The sequence below is a fragment of the Homo sapiens genome, chromosome 4, assembly GCF_000001405.40.
Source record: "Homo sapiens chromosome 4, GRCh38.p14 Primary Assembly".
Lineage (NCBI taxonomy): Eukaryota > Metazoa > Chordata > Mammalia > Primates > Hominidae > Homo > Homo sapiens.
This window is the reverse complement of record NC_000004.12, coordinates 145,893,188-145,919,746: the sequence shown is the minus strand read 5'-3', so window position 1 is coordinate 145,919,746 and position 26,559 is coordinate 145,893,188. Positions and strand designations below refer to the sequence as shown.

Genomic DNA, 26,559 nt, shown 5'->3' with positions numbered 1-26,559 from the left:
ATGTACTTGGCCATCTTGGCAGGACCACCATGTATGGGAGAGAGAGCAGTATTAATACCCTACTTTATGGATGATGGATTTCAGTAGTGGGGGACAGAGCATTCTTCATATTTCTGGTTCATCACTGTATTCCTCATACCATGTCTAAGAGCTTGTTTATAGTAGGGTTTTCAATTTTTGTTAAATAAACATCAGAAGTTATATAGCTGGTAAATTCCAAATTCAAAGTGGAACCAGGTCTCTGAGTCTCAGCTCAGTGGTCCTTCCTTTGCTAAAGCATTCTGCTTTTCCCAGTGCTCTAAGCAGAGTGATGCAGGAATGAGCTCTCCCTTTCATGAGTATATGTGGGACTTGGGAACTCTCTTGATTTGGCTGTCCAGTGAATTTCCACAAATCTGAACAAGTACGGGTGGTCCCTTAGGATAAGATCTTTCTTGTTTTTGCCTCTCCTCTTTTAAATACTCAATATAGGATTTGTTTTTATTTTAATTTTTGAGACAGGATCTTAACTCTTATAGTCCAGGCTGGAGTGCAGTTGTGTGATCATCAGCTGCAGCCTCCACTTACTGGTCTCAAGTGATCCTCCCACCTTAGCCTCCCAAGTAGCTGGTACTAGAGTATGCCACCAGTCCTGGGTAATTTTTAAACTTTTTGTAGAGATGGGAGTCTTGCTATGTTGCCCAGGCTGGTCTCAAAACTCCTGGCCTCAAGTGATACCCCACCTCAGCCTCCCAAAGTGCTGGGATTATAGGTGTGAGACACTGTGCCTGGCTCAATATAGGATTTTAAATCATTTCTATTTACCTGACACTTAGTCCCCAGTAAGATGATTGGATAATGACTGATGACCCAAAGTGGATTCATAGAGGATTTGCACCAGGAGGATCCCTGAGGTCATCTAAAACAGTGGCTTTCAAAACAAAACAAAATAGGTGGAACCCTTCCTTGTCTTTATGGAGAGCTCCACTATGTAGAAAAGATCAAAGACAAAGCAGGGCTGTGCAGGCTGGGTGTGTGCTGGGGTGAGAGCTGGGGGTGGGTCCATAGAGCCCAACCTTGCCCGAGAGCCCCAGGCTTCCTCTATGTGTGGTTTGGAAACCACTGATCCATCCTAACCCCTTATTTTATAGATGAAGAAACTGAGGCACAAAGGTGCTCAATGACTTACACAAGTGGCTGGATTAAAAAGATGATGATGAAACTTGTTGCCATATATCGGAATTTTTTTTTTTTTTTTTGAGACTGGGTCTTACTTTTTTGCCCAGGCTGGAGTGCAGTGGTGCAATCTTAGCTCATCGCTGTTTTAGAGCACCATTCCGCTTTTTTTTTTTATATATAAAGAAAAAGTACCTGTTCTGGAGAGCAGAAGTCTGCAAACTGTAGCCAGTTTTTTTTTTTTTTTTTTTTTTTTTTTGCCTTGAGCTAAGAATAGTTTTTATGTTTTTAAAGGGTTCTTTAAAACAACAACAAAATATAAGGACAGAGACTATATGTGCCCCGCAAAGCATAAAGTAGGATTTACCACTGCTGATATTAATGTGGAAATTTTTCTTAAAAATTAGGTTTTCTGTAAGTAACTTCAAAACAAAGATTTAAAACAAAGCCTGATTAGTTGAGCAAATTTATTAGATTGGTGCAAAAGCAATTGATGTTTTTACTATTAAAAGTAATGGCAAAACCGTAATTACTTTCTGCCCCAACCTAATATATCAAAAGCTTTTCAAACTTGTGTGTTTCAAATAACTTCTTTAAATTGCCCAATATATTTTCACTCTCCTTTTAAAATACCAGTTTTGGGTGGAGGATAAGCTGGTTAATGAAATTCTTATAATATGTGGGAATGTTGCAGCTACAGAACTGCAGACAGTTCTTAGGTGAAAAAGAAGTGGTGTTTTTATTCAAATACAAAATTAGGGCACTTAACAGTCACCCAAAAGGTCAAGAACCAGAGGAACTGATGTAGGAATAATATAAGTGGTCACTCCCAGGAAATGGCATATGAATGTTGTTTTTTCTTTTCTTTTTTTTTTTTTTTTTTTTTTTTTTGACCAGCTACCTTGGAGTTGAGCCTTATCCAAAGTAGCAGTAGAGCATGTTTCCAAACTTCAATCTTACCACTTGATGCATTTTCCAAAGTGCTATGATTTGAGTGTGTTCCCCAAAGTTCATGGGTTTGAAACAATTGCCAGTGCAACAGTGTTGAGAGATGGGGCCTTTAAGAGGTAATCAAGAGGGACTTTAAGAAGCTGTGGCTTCATAGCTGGGTTAATATTATTATCATGGGAGTGGGTTTGTTAACAAAAACCAGTTTGGCCCTCTCTTGCTCTCTCTGTCTCCAAGTGATACCTTCAACTATGTTATGATGCAGCAAGAAGGCCCTCACAAGATGCAGCCCCTTGATCTTGGACTTCCCAGCCTCCAGAACTGTGAACCCAATACATTTCAGTTCTTTACAAATTATCTGGTCGTGCGTGTTTTGTTATAGCAACATAAAATGGACTGAGACAGAAAATTGGTACTAAGAAGTGGGGCTCTTGCTGTAACAAATATTTGAAAATGTGGAAGTGGTTCTGGAACTGGGTAATGGATAGATGCTAGAAGAATTTGGAGGAGCAGGTTAGAAAAAGCCTAGGTTGTTATAAACAGAGCATTAAGGGCAATTCTGGTGAAGGCTCAGAAGAAGAGAGCTAGTGGTAAACTAAGAAACTTCTTAGAGATTAATTAAGGGCTGTGATCGGAATGTTGGTAGAAATATGGACAGTAAAGGCCATTCTGATGAGATCTCAGATAGAAAAGAGGAATTATTGGAAACTGGAGTAAAGGCCATCCTTGTTATGATGTGGCAAAGAACTTGGCCGAATTGTGTCCATACCCTCGGGCTTTTAGGAAGGCAGAATTTAAGAGCCATCAACTAGGGTATCTCTTGAGAGAAATTTCTAAGCAAAATGTTGAAGGAGCTACATGGCTTCTATTAACTTCATATAGTAAAATGAGAGGAGAGAAATGATTTAAAGATGGAATTTATAATTAAAAGGGAAACAGAAATGAGGAATTTGAAGGATTCTCAGCCTGGCCATGTAGCAGAGAATGAAAGAACATTTTCAGGAGAGGAAACCATAGATGTGGCCAAGGAACTGATTGATTGATAAGGGGATTAACATGGATAGAAGGAAACCAAAGGACGATGAGAGAATGACCCCAAAGGTACTTTGGAAATCACCAGTGCTCCCCTTCCATCACAGGCCCAGAGTGCCAAGGCCTGGGGAAAGGAAATGTCCAAAGAGAGTCCTCGGGTGCCCTTGAGACACTGGGCTTGCTGCCTAGGGCTGCTGTAAGTCTTTGCTCCCCACATTCCCGTACGGCTCATGCCCCCAGTTCACCCCAGGTGTCACAGCTTTGGAAGGTGTAAGCAGCAAATCTTGGCTATGTTCATGTGGTAGAAGTGTGCAGGTGCTCAAAATTCAAGAGCTGTGGGCATATGGCTTCCTTCATCTAGATTTCACGACCGCCTGGGGGCCCAGGCAGAGACTTTCTGAGGGGCAGAGCTGATGCAGGGAGCCCCCAACTAGGGCAATGCCTAGTGGAGCTGTAGAAGTAGGGGAGCATGCAGCTTCAGGCTGGGAAAGCTGCAGGCACAAGACCAACCCTTGGATGAACTGAACCCAGCAAAGCCATTGGGGTGGGGTTACCTGAGGCCTTGGCGGCCCAACCCCCACCCCAGTGTACAGGGGATTGGGGACATGGAGTCAAAGGAGATTATTCTGGCATCTTAAGATGTAATATTGTTTTCCCTGTTGGGTTTTGGACTTACTCAGGACCAGTTATCCCATTCTCTTGCCTATGTCTCCCTTTGGAATGAGAATGCCTATTCTATGCCTGTCCCACTATTGTATTTTGGAAGTGGATAACTTGTTTAATTTTACAGGCTTACAGCTGGAGGGAAATTTGTCTCAGGATGAATTGTACCTTGAGTCTCACCCATATCTAATTTAGATTAGACTCTGGACGTTTGGATTTTTGAGTTGATGATGAAAGAAGTTAAGACTTTTGGGGCTATTGTGATGGAATGAATATATTTCGCATGTGAGAAGGACATGAATTTTTGGAGCCAAGGGTGGAATGCTGTGGTTTGAGTGTGTCCCCCAGAATTCATATGTTGGAAACTCAATCCTCAATGCAACAGTATTGAGAGGTGGAACCTTTAAGAGGTGATTAGGTCAGGAGAGCTCTGCCCTATGAATAGATTAGTATCCTTATCTCGGGAGTGTGTTGGTTATTGGGAGAGCGATTTTTTTTTTTGAGACGGAGTTCCGCTCTTGTTGCCTGGGTTGGAGTGCAATGGCGCCATCTCAGCTCATGGCAACCTCTGCCTCCCAGGTTCAAGCGATTCTCCTGCCTCAGCCTCCCGAGTAGCTGGAATTACAGGCATGTGCCATCATGCCCAACTAATTTTGCATTTTTAGTAGAGACGGGATTTCTCCATGTTGGTCAGGCTGGTCTTGAACGCCCAACCTCAGGTGATCCACCCGCCTCAGCCTCCCAAAGGGCTGAGATTACAGGCGTGAGCTACCACACCCGGCCAAGAGAATGAGTTTTTATAAAAGTGAATTTGGCCATCTCTTGCTCTTGCTCTCTCTCAGCACAGGATGCCTTCTGTTGTCATGATGCAGCAAGAAGACACGCACTACGTGTGGCCCCAAGGGCTGCAGAACCATGAGGTAGTAGATTTCTGTTCCTTATAAATTACCCAGTCTTAAGTATTCTGTTTTAGCAACACGAAATCAGCTAAGACAAGAAGCATCCGAGTTTTATTGGGGATGGAATGAATGGCTCCTCTGGAGCATCCCTGCTGGTGACAAAGCCCTAGAAAACAGTGCTGGATTTCTTTTAGGTGAAAAATCTAGAAAAGCCCTCTTAGTGAAAACCCCAAGGGCATGCCTGAGGAATGCCTGAGAAGAAAGGAAGGTACACCTTCAGGATTCTTCAAAGAGAATTAAATGGATAAAACCACTGGACTTGAGTTGTTAAGGGAATGTTAATTTAGCTGTGGGGTATCCTGGCCCTTGGAATTACCTTAGCTTGTTGGTTGATTGCAGTTTTTGTTAATTGTTGTTGTTTTTTTGCTCTCTATTGTTGACTTCTGTGTGTACCAGAAGGTGGGCAGGGAAAATAAAAGGAGACAAGGAATAAGAATACATTTGACCACTTGATAGCAGCCCTGGCACAAAGCCTAGTAGGAGTAAAGGTTAAAACTGTTGGCCTAAATCAGTGTTTAAAGTTAACTTTGAGTTAGGGCTGTCCTTGAAATGGATTGTCCTTTGCTCTCATGGATTCTTGTGCATAACTGATAAAAAATATTCTCATACAATAAATTGCACCAATATCATTTTGTGAATGTGTTGGTGGGTTGCAGGGGGCGCGTTAGGGGAAGCTGCCTCCTTGCAGCTTTTGTTTTATACGTATTTAAGCACTAAATAAAAATCTATTTTGTCTCTTTTCCCTTGCTAAGTCTCTTGTCTCCCACGGCCCTTTTCTTTCTGGATATATGTATATTTTTAGTAAGTAAAGGACTTACTGTATGAAGTTTTTCTTTGGCAGACAGAATGATGATGACTATAATATGTTTATTACAAGGTACATCATGCCAATGCTCTTGGTGTGTGTGTGTGTGTGTGTGTGTGTGTCTACAAAGAAATGTATCATTTTATGTATAAGCTAAGATTTTGATAAGTAGTCATTTATCTATCCATAGAATGCTATTTCTTAGACTGTAGAATGCATTGTTATATGGTTAGGGCTATTGGGGGTGTTCATTTTTGTTTAGGTTCTTTGACCTAGTAAAGACTTCCTGGTGATTTCAGTAGTTTGGTAATTTATTACTGATCTTCTAAGAAGTATTGGTAATGTTAAAATGAAAACATTTATACAAAAAGAAATAAAAGTCAAGGAAGCAGATAATCAACCGATTTATCAGCCTTAGCAGACAATTTTTCTGATAACGATGTGGTAGCCATGGTAAATTTACTTCTGATTGCTTGAGGGGACAGATTCTATGTGCCTTTTGTAATAAGAGGTGCATGAAAGGGTAAGGGAGCAAGTAATCAATCCGTGGACTAACCAGTCCCATTTTGGTCTTTAGATTGGCCTTTTGGTGAGTAAATTCAAGCTATCTTTTCAACAAAAGAAAAATTTTGTTATTAATTTGCTGAAACGTGAGTAAGGATGTAAGGATGAGTATATCTTTTTGTTTGGATATCTCTAAGTAGCCCTAGTAAGGGAAGGCCTCTTTTGGTAATGTCTTTTTTTTTTTTTTTTTTTTTTGAGACAGGGTCTCACTCTGTTGCCCAGGCTGGAATGCAGTGGTGCAGTCGTGACTCACTGCAACCTCTGCTTCCTGGACTCAAGTTATCCTTCTGCTTCAGCCTCCCGAGTAGCTGGGACCACAGGCATGCACCACCACACTTGGCTAATTTTTATATTTTTGGTAGAGATGCGGTTTCACCATATTACCCAGGCTGGTCTTGAACTCCTGAGCTCAAGTGATCCGCCAGCCTTGACCTTCAAAAGTGCTGGGATTATAGGTGTGAGCCACCATGCTTGGCCTATTTTTTTAAACCTTTCATTTGAAAGAAATTTGAGTAAAATTGAGAGATAAGCAAAAATTTATTAGTCCACTCATAGTCCTTCCAGCCTCACAGGACTTAACACTGATCAGCAATGTGGTCGGTTTTATGTAATAATATCCAGCTTATTACAAAAACTACATTACAAACTGAGGCTATAGTTGAGAATCCAGAGGTGAACAAATTCAGGAAAAATGCCTCAGGCCTTCATCCAAATATACTTATATTAGTTTTCTTGGGTTGCTGTAATAAAGTATCACAAACCAGTGCTTAAACAACAGAAATTTATTGTCTCACAATTCTGGAGGCTAAAAGTCTGAGCTCAAGGTGTCCACAAGGCCACTCTCGCTCTGAAGGCGGTAGGGAAGGGTCTGTTCCAGACCTCTCGCCCAGCTTCTGGTAGTTTCTAGGCTTATGATAGCATAACTCATCTCATGGTGTTCTTCCTGTGTGCATGTGTGTCTCTGCATCCAAATTTCCCCCTTTTATAAGGACACCAGTCATACTGGATTTGAGTCCACCCCAATGACCTCATCTTCACTTGATTATCTGCAGAAGCCTATTTCCCAATAAGGTCACAGTCACATGTACTGGGGGTTAGAACTTCAATATCTTTTGAGAGAACACAATTCAACTCATGATACTAGGTATTCATTCCAAGTTTGTACACAGTTTTAATAAGCCTGGTGATTTTTATCTCAGTTTATGCATACAAAGAGTTATAAGTATAGGAGAAAGAGTCTCTGCTGAGGATATAATGGAGAACAAAAGTATTCAAAAAGACTATTAAAGTAGGAATAAGAACTTAAAATACATAGTTGCTTTGGGCCACTCAATGGAGGGACAAACTGCTGAAAAGTTCCAGTAGCTCCTGAAACACATTTATATATAACAAACATAATAACAGCATCAACATATTATGTTTGAGTGTGTGTGCACTTTTAAATCCCATCAAATTAAATTTTGAAAATATTGCGTACTTGATGGCACTTTGATAATTTTTGGTTACCTGAAAAATTATTCTTTTGTCAAGCTCCTCACATATTGTCAGATGTTCTGAATATTTGGGTTTCAACTTGGCTTTGTCACTCAGTAAGCATGCATGTTGTGTAAGCCATTAACTTTTTGGAACTTGGGTTTTTTGGTCTGTAAAATGAAAAGTTTGGTTTCCTATATAAAATTATTGTGAGGATGAAATTTGCTGATGAATATGAAAACATCTATCATAGCTCCAGATGTGTTTTCATGATTGTTCATTCATTCAACAAATGTTTATTGGGAGCCTACTGTATGCAGTGGCTTGTTCTAGAATTCATTCATTCACTTAATGCTGATTGAAAAGTACCATGATTTAGTAGTATTGGGACATCTGAGCTCAAGCACTGCCTATGTTTGGAAATCATCTAGGGGACCTTGGGCAAATCTATGGCCCTCTCTAGGCCTCTAACTAGAGACTAGTCATATAGAGTAGATTTCCAAGGCTTTTCCATCTGTAAAATAATTCATATAACAAACTTCAAGTATAATGAATAGTTTTTGATATCGTACAGATTAATTGTATTATACTGGCAAGTTACTTTATCCTCTGCGCCTTTGCTTTTGTCTTTGAAAGTGGGGTTAATAGGTCTAGTACTGTTTTCTGGTTAGTAATAGCAGTAATAATGATAGTCACCCATTATTGAGCTCTTGGCATTGTGCTAGATATTTTTATACATTCTTGCTTCTACAAACACGGTACATGTTTCTCCAAAGCATGTCGGTACCTGGAGAAACAGGTTGCATCTTTCTAGAGAATAAAGTTTCCTTGATGGCACAGCTGTTTATAGAGTGGAATGCAGAAGTCACTTGAAATGTTAAGCTAAAACTCAAAGAAAGTTGGGGCTTCTTAGAGGGGGCGGCGACTTTAATACCAAGTTCCCCTGCAGTGTTGTTCTTTCTTGGCCTTTGGGGAAACTGGTGGAAAAGTTTGCAAAACAGGCTTTTTCCCTGTTCCATGTTTGACTCACATGAGAAAAATAGCATTCTAATTTACAATTTTGAAAATAGTTCTTATTTCCATCACTGACAGATGTTACCTTTATGATTGTTCAGCCTATTCTTCCATTTCATTTATGCATTGGACAAATAATAATTGACTGCCTGCTCTGTGTTCAGTACCAACCTAAATGCCGAGGATGCAGCAGCAACCAAAATAAAGTCCTCCCTCGGAGCTTGTATTCTAAAAAACAGTGAGGTTTGAGGGCAGACCTGAGGAATTAGGGGAATTAAGCATGTGGCTGTTTCAGGCAGAGGAAGAGCAATTGCAAAGGCCCTGAGGCAGGAGCTTATTTTCCTAGTAAGGGAGAGTGTTAGGAGAGGAGGTCACAAGGAGATGATTAGGGATGCCTTGAGGTTCAGGTAAGAGTTTTGTATTTTATACTGAGAAACATGGGAAACCATTGTGGAAGTTTGAGAACTTACTTTGGCTGCTGGTTGAGAATAATGGAGCAAGGTTGGGAAGTGAGGAGACCAGTTGGAAGGCTACTGCCATAGTACAGGTGGGGGATGACAGCACTGGGTACCAGGTTAGTAGTAGTGGTGGAAATGGTGCAAAGTGGCCAGATTTGGTACCTCTGTTGAAGGTAGAACCAACGGAATCCGAGAATGAATTGGATGTGGGGTCTGAGAGAAAGAGAAGAGTCAAGGGAGGTGGCATGGTTTTGGGTCTAAGTAATTGAAAGGATGGAGGAGTTGCCATTCCTGCTGAGACGGGCAGGTAGAGGGAGGAACACGGGCAGTTCCTCGGCCATGGAAGGTCTGGCTAAGCACTTTATATGAAGAATACTGAAACTGACTTAGCTACTTTTTCGAACTCACTCTGCAGAGGAGTGATGCGTTCATTTGTGTTACCTTTATTTTACTCACGGTCATTTAGAATAATGATTTGAAAATGTTGCTGTGTGCCAAATGCTCGTCTTGACCCAGGAGCCCCTCCCTCCCCCCGTGTGTGGACTACTCTCGTCTCCAGACTTCCTCTCACTTCCTCATGCCTTTGCAGCACCTTTTCCCTAGCTGGACTGGTGACAGGAATCTGGTTGTCTTCTGCACCCTGGCAGTTTTAAATAACTAGCAGTTCTTACATTTTCTTCCTGGGCACGCTGACAGCGGTTGGGTGTCCTGGACATCCGTGTTTCGATAACTGTAATCTCCGAGTCTCTGTCCTGTGAAGCCCATTGCCGGCCGTGCATTTACCTCAGACTGTGGACTTGGAGCCTTGAAGACGCGAGAGGTCTCTTAGTTTCAGGCAGACCTGGTGTGGGGGATGTGCTAAGGCTCTCAGGCTACAAAGGGACAATTTAAAACTTGGCAAGTAAAACCGGCCTAAATGCGGATGTGTTTTATGCTTAGCATCATAAAATTGATTCAGAACAGCCTGATATGCGGCAGAAGAAACCTTTATTAAACATTATAGAGGTCATTGCTTTTGTCTTCCTGATACCTCTTCCCTCTCCTTTCTTCTGTGACCCACATTGAGCCCATTGTAGAACCCGCCCCCTGGCTTCAGTGATAGGCCCATGGAGGGGAACATGACCTCCAACAGGCCAATCAGAGGCGTAAAGACCTTTCTCTAGTGGGAAGTCATTGAGAGTGAAAACCCAGAACCGGTTGCAGCCAGGTTTTCAGCCTCCTGGGAAAAGTGGCCTGAGAGGAAGAGACTAGAGGCGAATGAGAGAGAGCCCTGATGGTGCTTTCGACATCCTATCTGATGCTGGCTCCATTGTGCCCCTTTTATTGTTTGGTACAGGAACTGAGAAAATTCCCTTATTGCTTCATGCGGTCCTGCTGGTTTTCTGTCATTTACAACCACAGGAGCCCAGATACCCCTACTATGAGCAGGGAATCAAGAAGGAACACAAAAATGACTAACTCATAGCCTTGCCTCCAGGTATTTATAATGTAATAGTTTGATTTCAAAACTAGTGAGTATGGTAAAATAGTTGGTAAGGTCTACCTTTGACAAATCAATAGTATATTTTTAAAATGTGAAGATAGTGTATTTTATAAAAATATACAATTTTTTCATTGGGTTAATTTATCCAACATATATCACTTGAATATTAGCTTTCTCCATGACTGGCATATTTCCTTTTTGATAATTTGCTGAGGAGCAAGGCTGCTTGTTAATGAATTTTTGTCTACTATTAAAATCGCCCTCATCCTTTGAGGTCCATTTCCAAAGCCACCTGCACCTCTGGAGTTCATTATTCCCTCTTTTGTGCTTACACAACCCTTGCTGTTTCTGTATGGTGGCACCAGTCATTATGCTTTGAATGCTTGTGAAACCCTCACTCTTCTGTTGATTAGAAACTTTTATGCCAGAGACTGTTGTGTCTCTGTTTCCCTTTGCAGGGAACAGTTCCCTGAACATAGTAGGTGATCAGTAAATGCTTGTTGAATTAAGTCAATTAGTAGCACTGGTTTTGCTAATAACTTTTGTAGTAAACTTACAAACTACTTTTATGTAAAACTGCATGTAAAAGTTGGTTGTATGATTTGCAGCACTTATTATGAGTATAACTGATAATGCTAATGGAAATGTATGATCTTAAAAGGCATTAGATATTTAGCTATAGAAGTGTATTAGTAGGAAAGGGAAAACTTACAAGATTTTTACATGAAAATAAACCAGAAGGTTGGTTGGTAGGTACCAGGTGAACATACCTGTGGTCACAAGAAGAGAGTGTTGGAGACACTGATTGTTAGAGAGTTGACCGTGAGAAAGCATCTCTCCAATCCTATGCCAGGTGAGTCCTAAGAATTCAAGTCCTGTTCTCATTAAAACCTGCTGGCTAGACTCATATGGACTGACTGGTGGGAATAGTTTGCGAGTAGATTTAGAAATGGGACTTTTAGGCTTCCTTCCCCACTTGCTTAAACCAAAAAGCTTGAAAATTAATAGGTGTCTCTTTGTTATATATTTTTTTCACTGTGCACTCACAATCTTTCTGAACGAGGATGCTCTGAGATGTATATTGGTCCAATTAAATGCATCTGATTAAAACTGTCAAACCAAAAAGGAAGTGAGTTGAAAAGACATTCTCTACCGAGAATGCAGCAAGAGTTGTAGATATCAAGTTACTGAGTTGCTGCTTGAGAACTGAATTATAAATAAATGTGTTAGGTAGTGGAATTTTGTTTTGTTTTCCCCAAAGGAGAAATATTCGCCACATGGAAACAAAATTTATTCAGCATATTTTCATTCTGTAATTGCACCATTGCTATTCTTAATTCTTTGTGTTTCTGATTTAAAGGGAAAACACACACAAAAACAGACTGTTGTGTAAAATTGACAAGAATGAGTGTGAACCTGACAGTCAGAGACAGAGGTTGTTGTAAAATTAGCAATGGAAATAGCTTTCTTCTCTGGAGGTTAAAAATAATGTATTTACAAGGAAGTTATTTACATTGGCCACTTAGAGGCTTCCCCGGGAAGCCTTGGTTAAGAAAGCTGTGAAATCCACGGTCACTGTACCGCAGGAAGCACTTCCAGGACCTTGGCTTGTGCAGTGCTGCTCTGTGACCATGTGAAGAGTCTGCGCTGGTTGGCAGACTGGAAAATGGAGGTGTCTTGCTGCCTGAGACTTCTCAGATTGTGAAAGAGAGACACAAAAGTCAAGGCTTGCATGTTCTAAAGTTTGTTGTGTCCAGCAAATTCATCTTCTAGATTTAAAAAAATGCTTTGTTTTGAGCTCCACAATGAGAGAACTTTTTCTCACGATGTAGTGTGAAAGGAAATTCCAGGCTAGGAAAGGTGCAGGTTGTCGTACACTCTGCAGAAGGAGAGCTCACCATAGCTAGACCACTGCAACATTCAAGAACTCCTCCATTATGAGATTGGACATGAAAATAGAGGAGCCCAGCAGGCAAAAAAAGAAGAAAAAAAAAGTGGGAGAAAATCCTTGCTGTTTTGTGAACACAGACATATTTGTTTGAGCTTCTTATAATTTTTCCCCACCCTCTGCACATCCTCATTTTCTTGCATTCATTTCTCCCAAAGCTCCTCTCACCATTTATTTAACCTCAGGTATTGCCAGAATAATTTCAGCTATGTTTCTCCTCAAGTTTCTGCTCTTTCTCTTTCTATGCCATGCATTAAAATTATATGGTAACTTATTTCTTGAATAACCTCAATTTCAGTAGCAGCATCTTCAGAAAAGTGATTAACAGAGTATTATGAATTTAAGAGATACTCTTCATGCATCCAAGTTTTCTTGCAGTCCAGAGGTGTGTGTATCTCAGTGATCGAGTCTGCAAACAACAGAGGGATGGATGGTTGAGAAATTATCTAGGCATTTTAGGAGCCACAAACAGTTCTGTTTAAGAAATACTTTGTTTATTCACTTGTTTATTTTGAGTTTGTGTTTTGACAAGTTAGGAAAGTTGCTTTAAATGTAGACATTAGCTGTTGTATCTTTCAAGAAGGTTCAGACATCTTTATCACTGCTTGGTAGGATTAGAACCTGAATTGACAGTTTCTTTAGCCTTTGGCACACTTACCTGTTTGCACACTCACCTGTTTCAGCACGTTTGGAGGGGGAATATTCTTGCTCACTGAGGGTGTGGAGGGGGTTAGGAAATTAAGCTTTGCTTTTGGGACTTTGCCAGTAGAAGTGCTAAATTCTTTAGGCATTTGAATCTCCTTTTGACCGACTCCAACAAAGAAGAGGCAGAATGGGAATGAAGAGATTAGAGTACAGGAATAATGAGTGTTCACCTCTTAATGATTTATCTCAAGATAAAGAGTGAATACTGTCCTTATCTAAGAGAATCCCTTGCTGATTTCTGATTCAAGAGGTTGGCAGGAAGGATGGGGGAATGGAAAGCGGGTGAGCAGCTGCTCAGAGCTCTCTAGAAGTCGTCGTTCAGCGGTTCTGTCTGCAGATTGTGCAGTGGAACCTTGCAGAGAAGCATTGGGCCAGCTGAGAGATTTGGGGTTCTTGGTTTCTGCATTAGCTCTACGTGGTCGTGTGTCTTTGATTCAGCCAGTAACCTTTACTTAACGTATTTAATAGTCTGAGTAAAATGACAAGATTTGATGTGTGGTTGTAACTTCTTGTGGTTCTCAAAACCTAGATTTTAGGTATGCTGTTAGGTGACCCTACTGCATTAGTTTGGAACCATTCTTGACTATCTTGAGCTCCTCTGGTATGACACACATATGACCTAAAAGTATTTAAATTTGAATAATATATTTTCCCGTTACTTCACTTAATGAGTGTACTTCATTTAATAATAAAGATTAAAGAAAAGATTATTTGAGCAGATATTCAACAAATTCTTACTGTAGGGATTTTTAAACTTTTGACTTACTATTTATAGGATACTTCCTATGTGATTCTACTGAAGGATGAGATGTTTAATCTGAAATCAAGAAAGGTGGTTTGCCAAAGAAACATAAAATTAGCCCTATTGTTGAAATTGATGTTGACTGCTTGGTGTTTGGTAAAAAGCATCTCTCCAAGAAGCCACTGGGGAAATGATGAGTTTAGGGTCGCCGCCAATTTCAGGAAAGATGAAAAATGTTAAAATCAACTGGGAAGGAGGAAATGTGGCAGATCACAAAGAACCAGACTGTTTTTAACAGAGAAAATTCAATTTAATCTGCTTTTTTTCCCAGCAAATTCCATTTGATATTTTACATTTTCTTGATAACTTAATAAAGAATCTCAGGAAGGAGTTGCAGAATTTTAGCTTCGTGAAAGAGAATTTGTCATTTGTGACATTTCTTCTCTAAATAGCATGGGAAGATCAATGTATTAGTGTATGGTTCATGCATTACTAGTTCTAGTTACTTCTATTTCAAAAAGAAACAGCATGCTATATGGCAAAACTTGGCACAAGGAGGGATTTTGGCTCAATCCCTACACATACATTGAACTCTGCTAGGGACCAGACATTGTGCTAGGCACAGTGTGGAATATGTAGATAATAAAATACAATTCCTGCCCTCTAGGAGCACCACTTTAGAAGGAAGCCAACAGCAGACAGATAATTTAGAGTAATATAAAACCAATGTAAACAAAATATGAGAATGTTGGCTCTGCAATAAAAATATGCACCTAATTGAGTCACTTCTCACGCCTTGCAGTCCTGAGCTGAGCCTTCATAATCCCCACCTGGATCCTAGCCTCCTAGCTGGCCTCTTTGTGCTCATCCTTGTACCTGAAGTCTGTTTTCCACACAGCAGCCAGAACAATGCTTTGACAACATAAGTCATGTCATAACACTCGCTTGCCACAAACCCTCCAGTGGTACCCAGTTTTGCCAAATTCAGAAGACCTTTCTGCAGTTCACAACGTCCTGTAGATCTGTGTGACCCCACTCCTGCACCACAGTGCATGTGCACACACGCGCACACACACACACACGTGCATACACACTCTCATACACATGCCAACACACACTGACTCATGATATTCTCTGACCTCCTATGGCACTGCTCTGACCTCACTCACTGCACCCCATGCACACTGGCTTCAGTGCTGTTCCATGGGCGTGCCAGGCATGTTCCCACAGCAGGGCCTTCACAGTGACTCTCCCTCTGCATGGTCAGTTTCTCACTTCCTCCAAGGCTTTGCTGAAATGCCACCACTTCTGTGAAGCTCCACCTTGACCACCTGTTTAAAATTGCAGCTCTCTTCCCACCCATTACTCCCCATCCTCCCTGTCTTGCCCTATGTGGTTTTCCATGGACTTATCACCCTCTGGCATGCTATGTTATTTACCCATTTATTAATTTTGTTTGACACTTGTCTTCCCCCACTGGAATGTAAGCTCCAAGAAGGCAGGATCTTAGTTTTGTTCATTCTGAGTGAGAGTTCCAGGGAGAATTGTAAGGAAGAAACCTTTGAGTCGGGTGTTGAAGGGTAAGTAGAATTGGACAATCAGCTTTTCTGGGGAAAGACATTTGAGATGGAAGGAATATCGTGAGAAAAGGTAGAAAAGTGGCAGGGCTCATGAATGCCCCTAGAATGGCAAGGAGCCTGCCTAACTGGTGCATGAGAGTGTCATGGGAGTGGTAGTGGTGGATCGATAAATAGAAAATAATGAAAAGACACTCTTAGTGGAGGGAGGGAACACATTCCTAACCGCTGCCTGTGATAATATGGCAAGCATGTTGATGACTGGAGTTGAGGACCCTCAAATAGGTAGCATGCATAACATGGGAGGTACTGTCACAGTCAGAAGCCAGAAATGTGAGTAGTGTTTGCTAATGAAATCTGATTTTATACGGTACTTGACTGTTTTCAAAACATGATCACATGCTTATTATGATATAAGCTTTATAACAACTGATAAAGTGAGTTAAGCAGGTATTATGTACATTTTTGATAAGCTTTTTAAAAAATGAATTGCATCTTATATTGGAGGAAGTGGATTCTCAGACCAGCTCAGTGACTTGCCTAGAGTCACGGAGTTAGAAAGTAGGGAAGCGCTTCCCACTGTCTGTGTCTCACGGTCTGTGTCCCACTATGCCAGGCTGCCTCTCTCATTCTGTCACAGTGCTAAACATACTGTGCTGGTTTTTCACAAGGATATAGGCTTCTTTCCATTTCCCCCCATTCCCTGAAAATAGCAGTTTCTTCATCCAATTACCTCTTTACCAGATCCATTTTTCTTTTTCCTTCTTTTCCCTTTCAACTTATCTGGACTACTTGGGTATGTTTTTACCTTTGCCTGTGTAGCATTTTTTACTTTTTTCAGGCTTCTGCCAAGTCTGTCTGACATTCTGTTAAGGCTGTTGCCACCTTTCATTTGGTTCTTGGGTGGAAGGGAAGAGAAAGCATGTCATCACCTCCATTTGAATGTCTTGAGACTTACTTATTGTTCACTTTGGGAGTAAACCTGATCTTCTTAATTCTCCCCAGATGTTAGTAGGCAGGAAGAGGCGGAGGGAGAGCTCAGTGAAGGAGAACACTGGTATGGAAACTCTTCAGAGACTCCGTCAGAAGCATCCTATGGGGAAGTCCAGGAGAACTATAAGTTGTCTCTGGAGGACCGGATCCAGGAGCAGTCCACGTCCCCGGACACCTCCTTGGGAAGCACGACTCCCAGCAGCCACACGTTGGAGCTGGTGGCACTGGACAGTGAGGTCCTGCGAGACTCACTGCAGTGTCAAGATCACCTTTCCCCGGGAGTGTCTTCTTTGTGTGACGATGACCCAGGCTCCAACAAGCCCCTGAGCAGCAATTTGAGGCGGCTGCTGGAGGCTGGTTCCCTCAAACTCGATGCTGCAGCCACGGCTAATGGCAGAGTGGAGTCCCCCGTAAACGTTGGCTCGAACCTCTCCTTTTCCCCGCCTTCCCACCACGCCCAGCAGCTCAGTGTTCTGGCCAGGAAGTTGGCCGAGAAGCAGGAACAGAATGACCAATACACTCCAAGTAACCGTTTTATATGGAATCAAGGTAAGTGGTTGCCAAACTCAACCACCACCTGCAGCTTGTCTCCGGATTCAGCCATCCTAAAACTGAAAGCTGCAGCCAATGCCGTTCTGCAGGACAAATCTCTCACCAGGACTGAGGAGACCATGCGATTTGAGTCCTTTTCCTCCCCTTTTAGCTCCCAGTCTGCCAGTTCTACCTTGGCCGCTTTGTCCAAGAAGGTCAGTGAAAGAAGTTTGACTCCTGGTCAGGAGCACCCTCCACCGGCCAGCTCCTTCCTTTCCCTGGCTTCTATGACCTCCTCAGCGGCCCTTCTGAAGGAGGTGGCCGCAAGGGCTGCGGGCAGTCTTCTGGCTGAGAAATCATCGCTGCTGCCTGAGGACCCTCTACCGCCCCCGCCTTCAGAGAAGAAACCAGAAAAAGTCACTCCGCCACCTCCACCGCCACCTCCACCACCTCCACCACCACCACCACAATCCCTGGAATTATTATTACTCCCAGTTCCTAAGGGAAGAGTTTCTAAACCCTCCAATTCAGGTATGGCATCTTTTCTTTCAATCATCGTGTAAGTCCTTTAGACTATAAACTGCGATGTCTTATTCATTGCTTTTTTCAGTTGGGTTCCCCATCTGATCTGAGGCAGGAATAAAAAAGCAAGAGCACAACAAAAATACTTTAAGTAAGCAGCATAGTAGTCTTTCATGTACGTATTACACAAAGACTTCACAAATAGCTTCACTTTTGAAAGGTAATGAATAATCTTAGAGACATACAGCATTCCCTCCCTTTCATACAAATGATTTTTTTTTCTTACTAAGTTCAGGCTAGGTCCATACAAGATATATTTAATGGGAGAAGATCAAAGCATCTTTGTCATGGAGTGCATGGCATCACTGAACATAAGGGGAAAAAAACCCACTGCTTTTGAAATAGTGGACAAGGGAGAGCCCACACTCCTGCTGCCTCCATCACAAATGGACTTTTGTACAATCAGGAACTACTCTGCCCTAATTTATCACACCATATACTTTTATGTTAGCATTTTTATTACTTTTTGTGGAATTTAAGCCCTTTTCACGTATCCTATTCTCCTACAATTTCTTGTCCTATAAGAACTCAAAAAGATTGTCAATCAAACATAATCAACACATTTCCTGTGAATGCTTTATTTAATTCAAATCCAATCCAATTTTGAAGGAATGTGCATGTGGAAAATTTGAATCCTAAGGTTTTTCTAGTGGAGGCAGTCTTTCCAAAGGAGAAATCGCTGTCATATAGGACCTTAGCATTCACAATTATTCATCTGAGGGAGAAATTTAGTCACTTGAATTCTCACAGTGGAAACACCATTTCTTGTTCTGGTTTGCTTTAAAATTGTGTACATGATAAATACACGTTCCTGGGATGCGTGTTGGGGTTTCAGATGTCTCTTAAGGATATCCTGCCAGACTGGAGCAGGAAGTAGGCTATGTGCATCCTCATCGGTACAAACATTGCCATCGTGTGTGTCTAGCCAACTTTTGATTATTTTCAGCAACAATGATGAAGAGGGTTTGGAATGGCAAATAATTGACGGAACGATCACAGTTAATGTCAATTTGATGCATTTATGACAAATTTCCATTTAAATGGCTGAGTGAGCTATATTCACTAATTATAAGTACTTCAAAACTTGAGTCAACAGCAGAAGACAACGAGGAAAATGGGTATCTGGGACTTTTATGACTCTTGGTGATCCAAACTGTTCTCTCCAGAGTTTCTGAAATGTCAGTAAAATCCTAGGATGTTGTCAATTCTAAGTTCCACTTCTCCTCTCTTCTCACCTGCCATCTGGTGAAATAAGGAGAGAAATGGGTAAAATTAGGAAACAAGGAGAAGAGCAAAGGAGGCTGGGGTAGTTCTACGATGGAAAAAATCACTCCTGACTTATAGAAATTTCATTTAGGGATAGCAGTAGAAAGAGAGGTATGGCTGTATATAAAATAAAATTTTAGGCCGGGCGCAGTGGCTCACACCTGTAATCCTAGCACTTTGAGGGGCCAAGGCGGGTGGGTCACCTGAGGTCAGGGGGTCAAGACCATCCTGACCAATATGGTGAAACTCCGTCTCTACTAAAAATACAAAAATTAACCAGGCGTGGTGGTGTGCGCCTGTAATCCCAGCTACTTGGGAGGCTGAGGCAGGAGAATTGCTTGAACCCGGGAGGCAGAGGTTGCAGTGAGCTGAGATCGTGTCACTGCAGTCCAGCCTGGATGAGACTCTGTCTCAAAAAAATAAAAATAAAAAAAAGAAAATAATAATTATATATATGTATATTCTGCATATCTAGTTATTGAATAAATGTGTGAATGGCGTTTCTAGTATACAATTCATCTGGACATTTGTTAGTTGGGAAAGCTTATGCAAAGTTAATAATAAACTTTAGTTGATTGAAGACTTGGAAAGAAGTGACTGATAAAACCATGTTTCCTGAAGCCCAGACTGTAGCAGCTTTGTCATATTGAAGTCTCCGGTATAACCAGCAATGGTTGTGAATATAATTTTTTTCACTCAAACGACCAGATACATGTAAAGATGAGAAAGAGGTCATGAGCTTCCAGTGAATGGTAGACTTTTTGTTTGTTTTGTTGTGGGAAATACACCCAAGGGAAAAGCTATGTTCCTTTTTGGTTTAAATACACTTAATCTATGCCAGCAACTCAGTGGGGTTCTCAGAATAATTGAATATGGGAGATCTATAAGAAATCGTTTCTTACTTTGCTTTTTACTATATTTATTATATTGCTGAAACACTTAATATTTTAATCAAGGGATGTTCAGAATGTTCAAACTGAAAGAGGAGGGAAAGGAACTTCTCAGCTTTGGGTTATAGAACCCTGTGCTGATTGACTTGTACCTAAGGCCTCCCCACCCCAACTCTCCCATTTCAACATGCCTCTGTTCAGTCTAAGACTTGAAGAAGCAGCTTCATCAGCAGAGTAATTTTATTTAAAAAATCTTTCATTTTGTAAAACTCATGCATGAGGAAAGATCACTGCCAAGAAAATGAGGGTCCTTGAAATTGTTACCCGAAAAATATTCCATACGTCCACGTGGGCCCATCCTACGTTCAAGTTCTGTTTGTTATTGCATGGCTTGGAAACAGAAGAGGGGATGCCCTCACTCTTTTCAGTTAAAGTGAATGTCATCACTTCCCAGCAGCCTAGCTAGATTATGGGTTAATAAGGAGTTCACAGAGTATCTAATTTTGTTATTTGTCTTTGTATCATGGGTACATGATTTGGTGTTACTGGGGATCACTGATTTTGGCATCTGAGGAGTGGAAGGAAAGGTGGATCATCTCCATCTGTCCCCTCTACCCTCCCCAACTCCCTTTTCTTCCCTCCCCCTCCCTCCCCCACCTTCCACACATTATACTGTTGGTTTGGGGGCCACCTGGGGCTGGATTGGGATGTACCTTCGATTTATCTAAGAAGCATTATGGAAATGTGGTGAGAGTCATCACCCCTGTATGGGAACATTTGTCATTATTATTCTTTCCTCTCCCTTAGAAGGAAATCTTAGTTTAATTCAAAATACGTAGGTGCATTGGCCTCTCACAGCAGGGAAAAGAGTTTCTGTTGCCTAATGACTTAAGTAAACAAATAATAACCGCCCCCAAGAACAACAACAAAAAGCCACAAAAATAAACTACACACCATCCTGATTTCAGGCAGGGCTTTCATTTTTAAAAAGCGATTTCTCAAAATGCGCAAGAAAAAAGCATATAAAGTTGATTCTTAAGTTACAAAGAGATATGTGCTAGAAAAGCTGATCCCGCCTTGAGTAATTTAGACACCACCATTTCTTTGACCTTCTTTAGGTCAAGGGAAGTCCAAACCATGAAAAAAAAATTGTCTTTTAGGTTTGGCCTTATTCTTCTTTTTTGAACAGGATTCAGTGGTTGCCAGGTCATGGTGTATTTAATTCCTTAAGAGTCCACCACTCGATAGCCTTTCCGCCCTGCAAGAGAGACGTGACACTTGAGGGGGAGGTTTCTTTCATGTGACCCTGCGCCCCCAGCACATGCTACACGGCTCCTCTGAAAGGGGACACGATAGAGGGAAGATTATGTCCGTTTGCTATAAAGATAAATGTCACACATTGACTGAATTCTCTTTGAAGCTACTGTTCTGTTGCAGCTAAGAATAAAATAAATGGTTTTTATTTTAAAGACAAAGTTTCTTGTAGAAGGCCAACAAGATTCCCAGGATGCCAGACTCCTGTTTAAAAGAAATAACAGGGAGAGTTTCAGAGAGAGGGTCTCCAAAACATCTTATTGTACTGAATAAAATGTAAATATTCTTAGAAGCAAACCTGGTCTCATACAGCTGAGAACTAAGAATATTTCCTGTGGGTCAATACATAGGGGGTTTCTGGCTGCTGTTTTCTTTAATATTTATGTGATGTTATTAAAATTATTGCAAAAGCATACAAAGTCCGGAGAGGGAGATCACCTCTCCTGATACTCCCATTAGGCCCGTGGTTATTATAATAAATCTTTTGTTTGTGACAGCGTCTGGCTCTATAGCCCAGGCTAGAGTGCGGTGGTGCGATCTCGGCTCACTGCAGCCTCCGCCTCCCGGGTTCAAGCAATTCTTGTGCCTGAGCCTCCTGAGAAGCTGGGACTACAGGCATGCACCACCACACCCGACTAATTTTTGTATTTTTAGTAGAGATGGGGTTTCGCCATGTTAGTAAGGCTGGTCTCGAACTTCTGGCCTCAAGTGATCCACCCTACTCAGGCCCCCAAAGTGCTGGGATTACAGGCATGAAGCACAGGACCCGGCCATAAGTCTCAATAAGCCTTAATCTGAGAATGATCCCATATATGAACTTGTTTAGAAAATTCACTTTTTAACCTAGATTTTTAGAACTGTCCGTCATTAATCTCAATTGTATTTTCGCAGTGATTTAAACTTAGTATGGCTATAGATATCAGACTTCTCTGAATATTTACTAGTTAAAATAGGCATTAATAAAGTCAGCATCCATAATAACAGATAAACCCAGGGACATCCATTGCTAACCTAGGCTTTTTTTGTTGCCATGAAATAGCATTTGAGACACATAACAAAGAAATTCTGTTAAAAGATTTAAAGTCCATGTGTATTGTTAGGAAGGAAGATAGGTCGTCATCCTACACAGATGTGTACCGGTAATGTTAGTAGGTCCAGAATGGAGACCGTAATAATGCACAGATTATGCAGATCCAGGGTCACCAGGCATCTTGAACTCCTAAGTTTATGGTAAGGTATATACGCAGAAACCACCCAGTTGCAAGTTATATTGACTTGCTGCAAATCACCACATAGGATTGAACAACAGGAAGTTTGATTTCGAAGCCTACAAAACAGTTACATTTGTTTTAAAAATACCTTTGTGTTAAAGCAGTTAAGCAACTACAACCCTCCGTGATTTAAAAAAATTTTTTTTTAGCCCAATGAAGTTTTGTTGTTGTTGTTTTGTGGATTTATGCATAGACAATAGGTAGAGCAGCAAACCAGAAGTGAAGAGATGAGCTGTAATCTCAGTTCTGCCACTAACTGGTAGAGAGACTTCTCAGCATACTACCTCAGTTTAGTATCCTCATCTGTAAACAGAGCTGGATGATCTCCAAGGTCTTTTCCTGTTTTAGAATTTCTTGCTTATATTTACTACTGTAGCTCAGTGTTTTAAAACTCTGTTTATTAACTCAAAACAAACTCTTTTTTTTCCAATTTTTGAGTTTAATATGTTGCTTCTTAAAATTCACTATCAAACCTCCCATAAGATCATCTCTGCTTTGGGCAGATCTTGTTCATTATAAATGGTTCAACATATATCTCTGTACTTTATTAATGATGTAGTCATTCCATATGCATTTTTAATATAAGCTGCTCCAGGTTCATTTTTGGAAATAGCTGAGGTCTAAGTACACGAACATTTATCTGTTTATCCATCCATTCATTTAGAATGTGTATTGGGGCACTATGTGAAAGGCATACATACACTCTTGTCCTAACACAAGTTCCATTGGGACTTACTGGCAGCCTCCTGCGTCTTTTCCTTTCATTTCTAGCCCTCATTTCACTTCTCTCTATTCCCTTAACCCAACCTTTTTCATTTAATCTCCTTACGGTCTAACACACACTTACTGAATTATATGTTGTACCTGGCATTGTTTGGGGGCTGGAGACACAAAGGTAAGGACTTCCAGGCCCTGTTGCAGCCAATTCCTCCCTCCACTCTTTTCTATCTTTTCCATGTCTCTTTTTTTCCCTGCTGAGCTGGATTGTCCATCAGTATTTTGTCTAAGGTGAGCCAGATCCTACCTGAGCCACACTATGGACTTCTGCTTATTTGTTTCATATTGGCTCCAGTGACAAACTACAACGTTGGGCCAAGCTCTGAACCGTGTATTTATTATGTGATGTTAGTTGTTTAGATTTACATCTGCTCTGATGGTGAGTTTTCAGCTTTGCAGGGCATGTTTAGAGTTTGTTTATTGTCACTACTCTTACTACAACAACGGCTACTACAGGTAGCTTCTATTTACTATGTGACAGGTGTCTTATGCACATTCATTATTTCGTTTATTCCAATAATATTATTGCCTATGAAGAGAATATGTTTTCTCCAGAGGAGCAAATTAGCAGCTGTTCATCCCACTTGTTTTCTTAGCATTTGATGGAATTTAGTTGTGTTTGCAGTGATAATAACTAGCTAGTGATATACTTGGGAAAAGTTATTTATTAGGCAGTTGTAAACTAGGTAAAATTATGAACATTTCAATCCTATTGCCTCAAGAGTGTATGGTTCATTCTGAGGAAGTGGTCCTCTTTCCTTAGGTTCTAACTTTGAGTGAAATTTACAGCTGTCAGTTTCCTGAAAATAGTTTGGCATACGAAATAGAATACAACCTTACTTCCTCCCTTCTTTAAAGTAGTTAACAACATCATAAACACATGGAGAACGTCTCTAAAATATGAAATTTCTTTCTTGAATAAATAAAAATGTAGATGTTATCGGTGAGATGACTGGCCAAAGGTGAAAATCAGTCATGGTACTTCGGTTACTTTTATCATTTGGTTTCTGTCATCTTCCTTTCCTGCTGTGATCAGTTAAAAATTTCAAAAGTTACAGTAGTGTAGCTATTTGACCACATTTCTTGCAGTTAGTTTCTCTTCATTGTGTGTTCTAATTTTTTTCCTAGTCAGTCCAAGTGCACCCTAATTTGTACCCAACTTGTGTATTTTGGTACTAATTAAAACTAAGGAAGCATAGCTAAATGGATTTATATGAAATAATAATATGCAGGGTTAAATGTAATGTACTCTGTAAAACATTTGAAATAAAGAATTGTTGATTAGGGTGAAGACTGAGGGGTCTCAGAAAGAATAGGAAACGCATTGGTCACATTAGGCAAGGCAAGATGCGAGGGGAAGACGGCAGTGTTCATTTTTTTAGCTAATGCCCTTTTATTGCCTTCCTATGGTGTGCCATGAAATCTCAGGTCAGTGGAAAACATCTCAGTTTTTCTCTCCTCTTCCAGACAGTTCTGTAAAATTAGGTAGTTTAGGAATTTGATAGTGGGACATACTTCTTGAAGATGGGGATCAATGACAGCCTGTTTGTTTATCTCTTTCCTATTATTTTGATGTTCTTACAACCCCAAACAGACATTGTTATGATTATTTCCCTGTAGTGTATGACAATAATTTCACCTAGAGGCCTGATTCAGTCCTTTCTCTCCAGTCTGTTGTTCATCTTGTAGTCTTCATGATCAAAATATCAGGGTGGAGGAAATGACAAGGAAGGATAGAAGACAAGAGACATAATTACAGATAGGACTCCAGATCGGCAGAGGCAATTCACAAAAAGAGACAGCAGAAAAGCTACAGGGGGTTAATAAAAATGCTTGTTTATATGTGTCTACAAGGTGTGCTTTTCCTAGAGTAAAAGGAAACCCTCATTTCCTGTTACTCCCCCAATTAAAAAAGGAAATACATGTGGTGGAACACATCACAAGTGGAATTTCCAGACTTGATTCTTTTTCAAGTTGCATGGTTGAGCTAACCAATAGACCTGTATTAGTAAAACTGCATTTTTGGAATGCTCTAACTTTATTCCAGAACCCTCTGGTTCCATCCAGTTGAAGTGCTCCTTTGTATGTAGAGACTCAGTTGACCCAGTAAATACATGATGAGATTATTTTAAAGTATACTCTTGGGAATATTTTCTTTTAAAATTAAAAGAGTAATGTGTACATTAAAAAATTCAAATAGTACAGAAGGATATGAAATGAAAACACAAGTTTCCCTCCTGATTCCTTCCTTTTAATCCACAATCCTTCAGTGGTAACTGCTTAGTGGTTTCCTGGGTATGCTTCCAGGAAGTTTTCATATGCAAATAAAAAGATACCATTTTTTGTTTGTTCCATTTATTCATGCCATTCTTCCCACTCCCTCCCTTTATTTTTTCTCAAGTATTTTAAAGCAAATCCCAGACATCATATCCGCTTGTTTGTAAATACTTCCATGTATATATCTTCACCAGATAAGGACTTAAAAAAATAACCACAATTCCACTGTCACATCTAACAGAAACAATTGCTAAGTGATATTTTGGAACATCCAAGCTATAATCAGTATTTCCTCAATTATCTGAGAAATGTCCTTTTACAATGGTTTTATTTAAACAGAATCCAAATAAGCTTCACACCTTGCTTTTTTTTTTTGTATATATCTCTTAAGTCTTTATTTTTCCATAACCCCTTCTCTTTTAAAAATGCCACTTACATGTTGAAGAAACTGGGTCGTTTGTCTTGAGGAATTCACACATTATAGATTTGGCTGATTTCATCCCGTTGGTGTGTTTAACACTTTTTTAAAAAATCAATTGTATTTCCAATAAAGGGTTAGTTATATAGAGGATTGTTTAATTTTTTATAAGGACATTTCACAGATGACATATCAGAAGGCACATGGTATCTGCCCCATTTTTAGTAATGTTAAGATTAATTAGTGGTTTTAGGTGTTGTCAACTGATCCATCCTTTATAAAGTTCCCTGCTAATATTTCACCTAATGGTTTTAGCTGTGACTGATTTCCACTTTTTTAGAAAACAAAAATAGAATTACCCTGGATATATGGTTTTGTATCTTGCTTTATCCACCAATGCTAATATCTTGGACATGTTTTTATATCATCGTCTGTAGATCTAGCTCATTTTTAAAAGTGCTTTTTATATTTTATTGTGGGCACATATGCTAAGTCATTTAACCGGTTTTGAAATATTTCTGATTCCTTATGATTAAGAAAGAAATGTCTAAGTTCTTGATTCTGCTTCTTTTTATTCCCTGTATCCCTAAATTGCAGAGGCTAGTGTGGCACTGAGCAATATAAATTGGTAGACCAAAAGTTTAGCAATAGTGTCACAACAGAGACCCTTCACTTTGAGAGCGACCTTAGCTTTATTTGGAGGAGGTAGTTGGT

At 40.4% G+C, this 26,559-nt stretch overlaps 1 protein-coding gene across 16 annotated transcripts in view, besides 1 other annotated feature; it reads left to right on the top strand.

Annotated features, from left to right (window-relative positions):
- The window catches only part of ZNF827 (zinc finger protein 827), a 181,197-nt gene that overhangs the window by 19,077 nt on the left and 135,561 nt on the right, over positions 1–26,559 (top strand). For 13 of the 16 annotated variants that reach the window (XM_047449635.1, XM_017007768.3, XM_017007770.3 and 10 more), the window contains exon 2: positions 16,532–17,581. In XM_047449635.1, coding sequence (XP_047305591.1) covers positions 16,532–17,581 — 1,050 coding nt within the window. Of the gene's footprint in view, positions 1–1,415; positions 11,408–16,531; positions 17,582–26,559 lie in introns of those variants that run through there. The other 3 variants (XM_047449634.1, XM_011531635.3, XM_017007769.2) reach the window with 3 other exon arrangements.
- Positions 14,938–15,097: an enhancer, noted in NCBI's record as "active region_21971". NCBI's record gives its function as "activates an Ori minimal core promoter by ATAC-STARR-seq in GM12878 lymphoblastoid cells {active_cell/tissue: GM12878}" and the evidence as "EXISTENCE:reporter gene assay evidence [ECO:0000049][PMID:35858748]".